Below are 13723 nucleotides of genomic sequence, written 5' to 3'. Positions count from 1 at the left end.
CAGCTCACTGTAAACTTCACCTTCTGGGTTCAAGTGATTCTCCTGCCTCAACCTCCTGTGTAGCTGGGATTACAGGTACCTGCCACCACTCCTGGCTAATTTTTGTATTTTTAGTAGAGACAGGGTTTCACCATGTTGGCCAGGCTGGTCTTGAACTCCTGACCTCAGGTGATCTGCCCGTCTCTCTTTTTAATTTTTAAATTTTTGTTTTATTTTATTTACTTATTTTTTTGAGACAGGATCTCACTCATTTGCTGGAGTGCTTAGGCATGACTGTAGTTCACTGCAGCCTTGATTTCCTTGGCTCAAGCAATCCTCTTGCCTCAGCCTCCCTAGTAGCTGGGACTACAAGTGTGTGCCACCATGCCTGGTTATTTTTTAGGGGATTTTTAGTAGAGACAAGGTCTTGCTATGTTGCTCAGGCTGGTTTCAAACTCCTAAGCTCAACCGATCCTCCTGCCTTGGTCTCCCAAAGTGCTGGGATTACACATATGAGCCACCATGCCTGGGTGAGTTTCTTTCTCATATTATCCATGTCTCTACTTGACTTTTTAAACATATGGAATACAGTTATAATAGCTGTGTTATGTTCGTCTTTCCTAAATATAATATCTGTATCAATTCTGGTTCAGTTTTGATAGATTAATTTTTCCCTTCACTATGGCTTATATTTTTCTACTTCTTTGCACACCTGGTAATTTTTTATTAGATCCCAAACATTATAGATAGCACCTTTTAACAATTCCTACATATATTCTTGAGCTTTGTTTTAGGATATAGTTCAGTAACTTGGAAACAGTTTAAGCTTTTCAGGTCTTGCTCTTGGGCATGACCTAAACAGCATTTAGACTAGGACAGGATTTTCCAACCTCAGTACTTTTGCCATTTTGTATGAGATAATACTTTTCTGTAGGATATTTAACAGCATCCCTGGCCTCTACCCACTAGATGCCACTAGAAGCTCCCTTCAGTGTTGACAATAAAAAAATGTCTCTAGACATTGTCAAATGTCCCCTGGGGGCAAAATGTCCCCAGGTTGAGAATGAATTATGTAGGATTAATTTTGCCCACCACTGTAGCAAGATCTTTCTGAATATTCTATTCAATTCCTGGTGAGGCTTTGCAGCCTGATTGGTGGAATTGAGCATTATTGCTAGTGCTGTGTGCGTGCTGGGTACTTGCTCCCTCTAATCCTTTAGGGCGAGTCTTTCCCCAGCCTCAGGGGGTTTCCTTACATTCATATGCTGACCAGGACTCTACTGAATGCATCGGGGGACCCTATGAATATCTCACCTCTCTGCTATTCTATTCTGCAAATTCTAGCTGCTTGGTCCCCCAAGATTCCCAACTTAATCTTTTTGATTTAAGGAGTCTGCTGGTCTCCTCTTGCATCCACTCTCCCTGGGCTACAACCTGGAAACTCTCCCAGGGCAGTAACTTGGAAAATCGTGGGGCCCACCTTGTTTGTTTCCTGCCTCTCAGCGATTATTGGTATCCTTTGTATTCTGTTATCCACCATGGGTTTCAAATGTGTTTTTCATTTGGTAGATAAAAACGGTGTTTATATTTTATTTAAAACTTTTGTCTCATTTTTTACTAGTTGAGGTTGAATTTTTTTTTAGTCATATTCTTTTTTTTTTTTTAAAGGTCTTGCTCAATTGCCCAGGCTGGAGTGTAGTGGCATGATCTCAGCTCACTGCAACCAGGGTTTGAGTGACCCTCGTACCTCAGCCTCCCAAGTAGCTAGGACTATAGGTGTGTGCCACCACGCCTTGCTAAGTTTTGTATTTTCAGTAGAGATGGGGTTGGCCAGGCTGGTCTCAAACTCCTGGCCTCAAGTGATCCATCCACCTTGGCCTCCCATATTGCTGGGATTATAGGTGTGAGCCACCACATCCAGCTAGCCATATTCTTTGTTATTGAATTATATGAGCTCTTAATATATTGAAGATATTAATCCTTTGTCTATCACATTAGAGGCAATTCCCCCCCTCCACTCAGTTTGACACTTACCTTTTAATTTAGATTTTTTTTACAAATAAGTTGAAATTTTTATGTAGTCAAATCCGTTAATCTTTTCTTTTGTAATCCTATTCCTGCAGGTTTTATATTTAAAAAGTCCTTCCCATTCAGACATTAAATAAATATATTTTCTTCTGAGTTTTTCTTTTAATGGTTTAATTAAAATTCTTATCGCTCCAGTCCAGATAGAATTTATCAGTGAATGGAGAGCTGAAATGAGTATCTTCATGGATTTCCCCCTCCCCCACCCCACAAATAACAACTTGTTTTCCCAACACCTTTTGTGGAATAGCTTATCCTTTGCTCACTGGAGTTTTTTAAAAAAATTATTTAATACACCTTGGGTTCCTGTGTAGCAGGAGGATCTATGTCTGTAGCAACCATTCTGTTTCCCAGGTCTAAGCTGAGCATCTGTTCTCAGGCCTGAGGTATTTTTGGACTTACACATCTCAGTGCACTGATGAATCGCCAGCACTTCCCTCTTCCTTGGCCAAAGAGCTGCAGGTGGGAACGGGGTATGGACACCTACAAGTGCCATAATGGGAGCTATTTGCAGTAGCCACCGATACTCAGACACCTCAACCCTGGTCACTTTCTTGTAGGATTAATAAAACAATCTGCTTCACATGGCAGCTCTTTCATACCAACACATGCATTCACACACGCACAAGCATGGTGCTATCTTGTCAGCTTATCACCTTCTCTGCCTGTCACTCTTTATCAGTTGATGAGCCAAAGTAGGGAGAAGGTGAGAAGAGAGATTGCTGGTGCGTATGAAACTGTCAAAAATCTAAATATAGGTCATGTGACTGACTAAAACTCATCTCCACAAATTCCATCCCTCCTTAGCACATTTTCTGCGATCTGCATCTCTAATCTGCTCATAGCCCCTTCACTCATGTTTCCTTTAATTTTTCTACCTTTCTGATAACCTCGTCGCAGCAGGGGTATGTAGAACTTTTCGCAAGAATGTAGTGGCTATAGGACTCTTCACCAATACTCTGATTTTTATTCCTTTATGCACAGAGCAGGATTAAACTCAGGCATTTTCCAGTGGTGTGCTTTGGCCAGGGAAATATGAGCAGAAGATTGAAGAATTAGTGTGTTATTTGGTATAAAGTCTGAGTCTTAGAGCAGTCAGATGGCTGACTGCTCCATCAACTTGTGTCCCAGTATGAGCAGAGCCTCAAGACAATAATGAAAAACATGACACGCAAGTGAGAAAGCAATCTGTTGTTTGAAGCCACCGGGATTTGAAGGATGTTTGTTCCAAGGTGCATCTAGTCGAATCTGACTGATATGTCACATACTCTATGTTCAAAACAAATGAATGGGCATCTGGTTTGTGAGACATGAGGATGTATCTGTACCTCGAGCATGTTATCATTTTCATCTCCTAAGAAACTGGGCAGGGCGGAATGGTCAAGCATGGAGAATGGCTTCCTCCTTCTCCATCCAATCAGTGGAGCTGCAGAGAGCTCCCAGCCCATCAGTGACAACAATAGAAACAAATGTTTTAAACCTGACCGTCCTTGTCCCTTGGATGCAAAGCACCATGGTTGCTTTTCTTAGTACTGGCCAGGAAGAAAATCTCCTGTGGCTCAACTCTGTTTGGCCTTTATGATAGAGACTTAGGGTTAGTATACCAGACGTAAAGATAAGTTCATGTTCATGTTTCAAATGATCTTGCAATTATTTGCACTTCTCTAGCAGGTGTTCTGTGAAAGCAGGGCAAGAAATAAAGAAATTCCAAGCAGATGCTTAATCAATGGTGAGTGCTGACATTTCTACATCTTATCTCAGGTCTAAAGCAAGGTTCAGCCTATTTAATTTTGGCTTCAGTTGGCCCTTTGCAATCTGGAGATCTTTTTCATTTGCCCCCTTGTCTACAATGTTATAGCCAATAACCTGATTAGGTAAATTCTTCAGCTCAGATTGTTGAATGGGTGGTCATTTCTTATTTTGATGAGTTATTTCAAGGGTTTTTCATAATTTGGATTTGAAAATATTTTATTGTGCCTTATTGATTCTAGCTTTCATATTCTAATGCTTTTGGCTCATTTTCTTGCCATCCACTCCTGTCTGCTGTGTTTAAGCCTCACTGATGGGTACTAACTGGCTGGAAGGTCAATGTAAATCAGATACTAGGCTGAATTAAAGTCAATTTTTAAAGAAATACATTTTAAATGCAAACAGAAACTCAAACTAAATTTTCACAAAGTTCTGACAGAAGGCTTCCAAGTAGAAGTCCTGCTGAGCTGCTGTATTGACGAGATAAAACTCATTTATAATTAGCAACCCTGTTTGCATACAAATAGTTAATGGGTTAAAGTCCTTAAAAACGATTTGCTCTCTTCCAGAGATTGAATGTGCTTCTGCAATCGTGCACACTCTAATCAGCTGCTTTGCAGAACATCTTTGCATTGGCCACATTGAACTCCAGTCTAACCTACACAGAAGTATAACAAAGACTGAGTTCATACATTCTGAAGAAATAAAATGTTACTGAATGAATCCAGGTGTTTTTGAAATAGTAATTGAGTTTTAAAAATAATCTCCAGGGGATGGGGCATGGTGGCTTATGCTTGTAATCCCTGCACTTTGGGTGGCTGAGGTGGGTGGATCACTTGAGGTCAGGAGTTCAAGACCAGCCTGGCCAACAAGGTGAAACCCCATCTCTACTAAAAATACAAAAATTAGCTGGCCATGTTGGTGCGTGCCTGTAATCCCTGCTACTAGGGAGGCTGAGACATGAGAATCGCTTGAACCCAGGAGGTGGAAGTTGCAGTGAGCCAAGATTGAGCCACAGCACTCCAGCCTGGGTAACAGACTCTGTCTCAAAAAAAAAAAAAAAAAAAAAATCTCCTGGGGCCAGGTGCAGTGGCTTACATCTGTAATCCCAGCACTTTGGGAGGCTGAGGCAGGAGAATCACTTGAACCTAGGAGTTTGAGACCAGCCTGGGCAACATAGCAAGACCCTGTCTATACAGAAAAAAAGAAAGTCCTGAGTTACCCATTTCATCCGAGAGGACAGGAAGAGAGCAGGAATCTAAATTAAGAAGTTTCTGTAATCTACAGAATGGGTTGTTTGAAATAGAAATTACATCATAGAAATTCTAGAAAATAATATTTCATATGAAGCTTTGGACGTGGATTGAAATCGAATCCTACAATCATGCCCTTATCACATAACTCTGGATGCCATTCGTGTAGAGTACAGTGTGAATGGTGTCCCATTAGACTTGAGCCAGTGTAGGTATAATGCTATTGGAATTCAATATTTACTTGCCTGAGTAATGGGTGCTAGACGATGTGTGGCTCTTGCTCTTTTAGTTGACAAGATTGCAGCCATTCTTCATGACTCAGATTGAACATCATTTCTCCCGAGCCTTCCTATTTCCACTGTTTGTATGGGTCATGGTTTCAGCAGGAAACAGATGCATACACAAATTGGGTAATTTGAGGACAGTTTACAAAGGGGCTATTTACAAAGGTATAGGCAGGGCATATGGAAATTACAAAGGATCAACTGCGGGACCTTTGAGCTTGTAAAACGTCGGGGCCTAAAAAGGCAAAGGAATAGTGCAGTCACTAGGACCTGGTGCCAGTAACTGTAAGGGGGCAACCACTAAACAGAAACTGACACCTTTATGGCCAAGACACCGTGGCCAATACGGGGGAAGCTGGGGAATTGAATATCCTAACTCTGCTCCACAACCTTTCTCCCATCATAACCCTCATTAGCTGAACCCAGCTGGAAGTAAGAGTTGGGCAAGGGAGCCTGCTGATGCAGTCCAAAGAGGTTAGTGTATTATTTATCTATTGCTTTATAACAAATGATTCCAAAACTTAGTAGCTTAAAATAGCAAACTTCACCTCATAGTCTCTGTGGAGCAGGAATTTGGATAGCTAGATTTTGGCTCAATGTCTCTTAAGAGGTTGCCTTTAAGAAGTCAGCTGAGGCTACAGTCATCTGAAGGCTAGAGAATTTGCTTCCAAGATCCCTCACTCACCTGGCTTTTAGCTGGAGGCTTTTTAGTTCCATTATCACAGGGGGCTCCTCTATAAGGTTACATGGGTGTCCTCATGACATGGCAGCTTGCTTCCCCCAGAGCAGGTGATCTAAGAGAGAGCAACTGAGAAGTTGTGGTATGTATGATGACCTAGCCTTGAGAGTCACATACCATCACATCTGACACAGACCAGCCCTCATATAACATGGGAGGGTGTTATTCAGGAACAGGAAAACCAGAGGGCAGAGATCACTAGGGGCCACCTTGGAGGCTGATTATCACAACCAGCCTACCTGCAGGATGCAGACGGTTGAAAGTAGATATAGAAATGCAGACAGAAGACATCCAGCACACCCCTAAGTAGGAGCACACCTTCTCTAATCTGATCACATAATAAATTACCCATATCTTGACTGCAGCACCAATTATATTGCTTAAAATTTGTTGTTTATCTGTCTCTCTGGAATGTAACCTCCTTGAAGAGGAGAACTGTCTTATTCTTTCTTATGTCTTTGGTGTTTACACAGTGCCAGGCTTATGATGGTTCCCCCAAATACTTGAAGTTTTTATCTTTTTATTTTTAAAAATATCTCTTTCATAATTTATTATATTGATTACATGTTGAAATGATATTCTAAATATACTGAGTTATATAAAATACAATATTAAAATCAATTTTACCTATTTATTTTAAATTATTTAAATTTGGTTGTAAAATTTAACATTATATGTGTGGTACATGTTATTATATTATAATATATTATTACATTTTTATTGTATAGCCCTACCTTACTGATTTTGTATTCAATTCTGTTTCTGAGTTATTTTTTCACATTCTCTGGATAACACGTTTCAAAGTTCAGAAATACTTTATTAGTATTAACATTTTCAGTAGTGAATAGTCTTTCTAGAAAGAATTGTGTGATGACTAAAATTATTTTTGAAATAGTTGTATTATTAGTTGCTCTTAAAATGTTCATCATCTCGCTAGCACTTTTAAAGAATGTTATAGGACTTGTGAAGCTCTGGGATCTGAATTTTGGTTCTTTTAAAGGTGCTTTATCTGTGTAGATAGTTGTTAAATTGGTGTCCTTGCCAGGGAGACCATTGGTGGAACCTTCTAGTTCACCGCCTTGCTCTGCCTCCAGTCTGAAGTCTTGAATAAATGAAATCTACTAGCATCCTCTTGATGGTCTACAGTCAGTGATGTGGACTCTCCTTCATCTTTCTCCACCCCCTTCATCTTCCCTGCAGTGGCCCAGTGCTGTCAAAATACCTTTGCGTCAATTAGAAAATTGACCTAATATGCGAATGCATACATCAGATGTTAGTGACTGTTAAATCCTAGAGTATTTGCATATAACTATTTTTAATTTTAAAAAAGGAAAGATGAGCTGGAGTGTTAGCAGCCCATTACTTAATAACCCCCATGTCACTCCTCTGAGTTCTCTGTTAACTATTTTGGCTCAAGTTCTATCTCCCCTTGATATGACTTGGGTACTCCATACTTGTGCCTCAAAGACATCTTGATGTGAAGTGCCCATGTGAAGGGGAAGGGCAGTGGCCATCCAGTTGTAGAAGGAAGTTTCTTGGGCACATAGTCCAGCCCTTAATAGCCTTGGGCTTTGGTTCTTTAATTGAACAAAATTAAATAAAATGTAAAAACCTGAGAAATGATGAAGATTTGCCTGTGCTTTTTCTGGTGCTTCATGAAGCTCCAGTCTATTATTTCAGACTTCAAATATGCATTTTCTTCATGTTCCTTGTTGAAATTATCTGTAAATTCTATATAAAAAAGGGATTACTCTATCACCAGCAAAGGTATCACATGTATTTCCATAAAACACCTGTTCTGTATTTTGGCCAGTATCAGTTCAAGTTCCAAATATATAAAATAAGAAATATATAAATAAATATATATATGTGTCTGTGTGATAACATTTTTAAATATCTTGATATCTTCAACTCCTAAACTTCTCTTTATGTCTACATTATTTACCAAAACTGTTTGTTTAAAACAATGAGATACCATGATGCACCTATTAGAATTGCCAAAATTCAGAGCACTGACACCACCAATTTCTGGTGAGGATGTGGGTCAGTAGGAACCCTCATTCACTGCAGGTGGAAATGCAAAATGGTACAGCCACTTTGGAAGACAGTTTGGTGATTTCTTACAAAATGAAACATACTCTTACCTTATGATTCAGTAATCGTGCTTCTTGGTATTTACCCAAAGGAGTGGAAAACTTATGTCCACGCAAAAACCTGCACATGCATATTTATAGCAGCTTTATTCATAATTGCCAAAACTTGGGAGCAATCAAGATGTCCCTCAGTAGGTTAATGGTTAAACTGTGATACATCCAGATGATGGAATGTTGTTCAACACTAAAAAGAAATGAGCGATCACACCATGAAAAGACATGGAGGAAACTTAAACAGTTATTACTAAGTGAAAAAAGCTTGTCTGAAAAGGCTACTTACTCTATAATTCTGAATACATGACATTCTGGAAAAGGCAGATCTGTGGAGAAAATAAAAAGATCAGTGGTTGCCATGGGGTTAGCGGGAGGGAGAAATGAATAGGAGCCCAGGGGATTTTTAAGGCAGTAAAACTACTATGCATGATACTCTAATGGTGAGTATATGTCATTATACATTTGTCCACATCCATAGAATGTACAACACCAAAGTTGAGCCCTAATGTAAACTATGGGCTGTGGGTAATGATGGTGTGTCAATGCAGGTTCATCAAATGTAATAATGTACCTCTGTGGTGGGAGATGTTGATAATGGGGGAGGCTATGCCTATGTAGGGGCAAGGAATATATAGAAAATCTTGGTACTTTCTGCTCAATTTTGCTGGCCGGACATGGTGGCTCACACCTGTAATCCTAGCACTTTGGGAGGCTGAGGCAGGCAAATCACTTGAAGTCAGGAGTCCGAGACAAGCCTGGCCAACATGGTGAAACTCCGTCTCTACTAAAAATACAAAAATTCGCCGGGCTTTGGTGGTGTGTGCCTGTAATCCCAGCTACTGGGGAGGCTGAGGCAAGAGAATCCCTTGAACCTGGGAGGCGGAGGTGGCAGTGGGCTGAGATCACACCAGTGCACTGCAGCCTGGGAGACACAGTCTGTTTGAGACAGATTCTGTCTCAAAACAAAAACAAAAACAAAAACAAAAATTTTGCTGTGAAACTAAAAGTGCTCTTTAAAATAAAGTCTCTTAAGAAAAAGGGTTGGACTATAAATATTTTACTAAAGCAAGGCAAAAGGATCTAATGCCCCAGAGGAGAGATTTCTAATGAGGGACTTGAGGCTCTGTCATGATATAGGGGGGTTATTGGGGAAGATTCTTGAGGCTAGAGAAGCTCCCCTGGAGCCTGGGGGGTGGCCGCTTCCACATATGTCCAGAACCACCTGAGATGTTTCCATCACTTTTGTATTTATTAGCTGTGTTATCTGTCTCCTTGGTATCACCACTACCCCTAAGATCTCTGCAGAGGAAAAGCTGGGAAATATATTTCTCAGAATCTTCTTCCCCTGAATGGTCTTGGGTTAGAGTTTCCCAAAGAAAGGCAAGCGGGTGAGACTGGGGAGGCTGCTGTAGGCAGTGGTAAGGTCCAGAGCAAGGCTCTAGAAAGCTCTAGAATAGTGGTTCTCAAACTTGTGCTGGATCAGAAGCACCCAGACAGCTTGATAAAGCACAGACTGTTGGAGCCCATCCTTGGAGTGCATGATTCAGTAGGCCTAGGGCAGGGCCTCAGATTTACATTTCTAGCAATTTCCAAGGTGAGGTTGATGCTGCTGGTTCCCATACCCACTTAGAAAATCACAGCTTTAGAAAAATAACTGCTTCAATGCTTCCATTTCCTTGAATTAAGACTCATGATGTAGAGAACACATAGCATGGCCCCTGTTTTCCAGAGTAAACTTGACCAGTGTTCAGTGCATGAACGCACAGAGCTTTCCAGAGTACTTGAGTCTCCCCAAGAAGGATGATTACTGAATCATATGGTAAGAATGCTTAAGTTTACAGAAGGGAATCAGGCAGGCTGGCATTGCTTCCAGGACCTATGTGGTTTCGATCTCCATGAGGCAAGGCCCCTGCTGCCATGCTGGTCTTCAGCTTCCTGTGGGGAAGGGACACTTGGGCCTCTTGCACCCGGCACTTTTGACTCTTTGCTCATTGACACTCCCCAGCTCTATGGAACATGCCAGGGCAGGACAAAGCCTCCAACTACTGGCCCTGGAAGATAGCTGTGTCAGTCCATTTGCACTGTCATAAAGAAATACCTGAGGCTGGGTAATTTATAAAGAAAAGAGATTTAATTGTCTCCTGGTTCTGCAGGCTGTACAGGAAGCATGGCTCCAGCACCTGCTTCTGGTGAGACCTCAGGAAGCTTCCGATCATGGTGGAAGGTGAAATGGGGGAAGGCATATCACATGGCAAGACAGGAGCAAGACAGAGAAGAGGGAGGTCCCAGACTCTCTAAACAACCAGATCTTGTGTGAACTCAGAGAGAGAACTCTCTCATTATCACAAGGATGGCACGAAGTCATTCATGAGGGATCTGCCCCATTACTCAAACACTTCCCACCAGACCCTACCTCAAACATTGGGGGTGACATTTCAACATGGGATTTGGAGGGGACACACATCCAAGCCATCTCAACAGCCCAGGGAGTTGCCCTGAGTCACAGCTGATAATAGGTCTACTGTGATGGCGGGGACATGTATGGCTGGCAGCAGGCAATGTGACATCCAGTGGCTGTTGCCTTGGATGGGGGTGACCACAAGCAGCTGTGGATAAATAAGAACAAAGTTGCTTCTTGTAAGCAAAGGCCTGGATTTGTGGTGAGGCTGAGGCTGGGTCACATGTGGGCCACCTCAAGAGCTCTGCCATGGCAGCCGAGGGACTTGAGCACCACATTGAAAGGGCCGCTGGCCTTACACAGGTCTCTGGGGCCACAACTGATAGAAAGGATGGTCAGAATACCCAATATTTGCGAATCTGTAAGTGGCCTTTTCTAAAAAAGAAAGAAATGCTTTACAGGTAAAGAAACAGACTCAGAGGCTAAGCGGCGTGACCAGAGTCAGTTAGTGGGAGAGTCAGGACCATGACCAAGTCCTTTAACTCCGAATTCCATGTTCAAACTAGCTGCCTGCAGTCCCCTCTGGGAACCCTGGCTCCAGGACAAAGGGACAAAGGGGACCATGGGGAGACACCACGTGCTCAGGAGTTATGGGGAGCACCTCTTCCACGTCTCACTTTGGACACTGTGTGTCTCGCCTGTTGAACTACTCAGGTTATCTTTTCATTGTTTGTAATGTTAAATTTTGAAATAATTATAGAATTCACAGTAATTTCACCCAACTTCCCCCAGCTGGTGCATCTCACATAGCTGCAGTACAAGGTCAAAACCAGGACAGGTTGTCTTGAAAGGAGCAGTTTCTCCCACAAATGTCCTCCAAGCCCTAAGACGCAGGCATTTAGAAAATCCCGTAATTGCTGTCATTTTCATTATCAGTTAAATGAGTCCCCTAATGTTTCAGAACAACAGATGACACGAGATGTCCCTGCTGGGGAGAAAAACTTGATGATCCCATTGGCAAACCAGCTCCTGAGATTTGTATCAAGGCCTCTGCATCTCACAGCTACCTTGTGTCTCCTCTATTGAAAAGCTGCTGGGACTTTCAGAGACATTCTACTAATGGCAAGTTCTGAGGTTAGTGGATATAGTAAGATTGGCAGACCTCTCTGGAATTGTTTATGTAGCAGAGAAAACAGAATTTAGAGGCAGGCAAATCTGAGTTTTAATCCTTATAATCAATCATGCATTAAGTATTGACATTTCTTTTGGTATTGCCTTAAAATGTTAAAGAAAATTATAAGTAATTTCTTGTAACAACTTCTCATGTACATCTGTTTTATTATGCCCACTAGATTATAAACTGCTAAATTACGTGCTTTGCTTTTTTTTTTTTTTTTTTTTTTTGCATTTGCCCCTATGGTGTGATGATTAGATCTAGAAACATTGACAAGATTGTTGAAACACAGATAGGCTGGCTTAAAAACACTGAAATTCAATGACTATGCAAGGTATCATCTGCCAATTTGTAGTTATTAAAAACATGAACTCACAGGTAAGCAAAGCAGGTGTGTCGCCTTAGAAGTGGAATGTGAATGTTAATTTGGAGTTTGGTAATCAATGTAATATATTGTCCATCTTAGAAATCATTTTCTTAGGTCAGGCATGGTGGCTCATGCCTGTAATCCCAGCACTTTGGGTGGCCGAGGCAGGCGGATCACCTGAGGTCAGGAGTTTAAGACTAGCCTGGCCAACATGGAAACCCCGTCTCTACTAAAAATACAAAAATTAGCCGGGCATGGTGGTAGGTGCCTGTAATCCCAGCTACTCAGGAGGCTGAGGCAGGAGGATTGCTTGAACCCGGGAGGCAGAGGTGGTAGTGAGCCGAGACTGTGCCAATGCACTCCAGCCTGGGCAACAAGAGTGAAACTCCATTTCAAAAAAAAAAATCATTTTCTTGTGCTGTAGGTTTAAATACTAAGAACCCACAACATGAAGACATTTGAAGATCTCAGATGAGATCTCTTGGTGAGTTTCAGGTCTCCTAAGAATTATGTTATATCCCTAAGGATACACATGGTTTTCAGTTATTACGTGTTAGACGAAAAACACAAAACAACCGTTATGGACTATTTGTATCCCTCCAAAATTCATATGTTAAAATCTAACCCCCAATGTGATCATGATGCAGCCTTGAGAGGTAATTACATCATGTGGGTGGAGCCTTCATGAATGGGACCAGTGCCCTTATAAGAAGAGGCCAGAGGGCTAGCTCACTCTCTTCCCACCATCTGAGGATACAATGAGGAGACTGCAGTCTGCAACCCAGAAGGGGGCCTTCCCCAAAACCTAACCACGCTGGTGCCCTGATCTCAGGCTTACCAACTATACCAACCTTAAAAAAATATGCTGGAAGTTTTTTTTTAAGGAAAAAATAGGATTAGTTCCAGTGCTCCAAATAATGACAGAAATTGCTAAATACAAAAGCTATAGGTATTTACTGAACAGATGTGAGCTATACAAGGGTATGCCTTGTGTGTATACAGGTTGCCTTCTTTGTTTGCTTAATATTTTATCATAAAACATCCATGTTATAATGTTGTATATGGAAACAACAGTGCCAGGTAGAAGGTGGATGGGTAATGAAAAATAGGTTATGGAAAATATACTGCAGCAAAATGTTTCCATCAAAACCAAGCTATTAACGTTTGGGTTTGGCAGTGACCTTTAGTCTATGAAACAAGGCTTTGGGGTTCAGGTAGCACAGAGAAAACACCTATAGACAGAAACCATAGGCATGCTACTTCAATCACAATTAATGTCGATATTGCATACATGTTCTTGACAATGTATATTGTAGCCAGCTTCTGTGGCCATGGCTGCTATTATCCCTGCCTTTTTCCCTGTTTGAAAAGAATCTTCTCAGCAGAGCTAGAGTCAGTAGAGAGTGTGTTTTATGTTATTGTGTTTGTGCTGGTGTCCTTTGTGCTACTGGTAATTACTCAATTGTTTCAACCGGCAATATGATTTCCAACACTAAAACATTATCATTTATAGAAATAAGTAATCATGATATTGGTGTCTTAGATTCC

The 13723-nt window shown here is 41.3% G+C and overlaps 1 long non-coding RNA gene across 2 annotated transcripts in view; it reads left to right on the top strand.

Annotated features, from left to right (window-relative positions):
• The window catches only part of LOC105370324 (uncharacterized), a 179291-nt gene that overhangs the window by 21486 nt on the left and 144082 nt on the right, over window positions 1-13723 (top strand). For both annotated transcript variants that reach the window (XR_007063845.1, XR_931663.3), the window contains exon 3: window positions 11596-11768. This is a non-coding gene — a long non-coding RNA (uncharacterized LOC105370324). The remainder of the gene's footprint in view (window positions 1-11595; window positions 11769-13723) is intronic.

The sequence above is a fragment of the Homo sapiens genome, chromosome 13 (assembly GCF_000001405.40).
Source record: "Homo sapiens chromosome 13, GRCh38.p14 Primary Assembly".
Classification (NCBI taxonomy): Eukaryota; Metazoa; Chordata; class Mammalia; order Primates; family Hominidae; genus Homo; species Homo sapiens.
The sequence above is the reverse complement of the archived record's forward strand: the minus strand, read 5'-3'. Positions and strand labels throughout refer to the sequence as shown.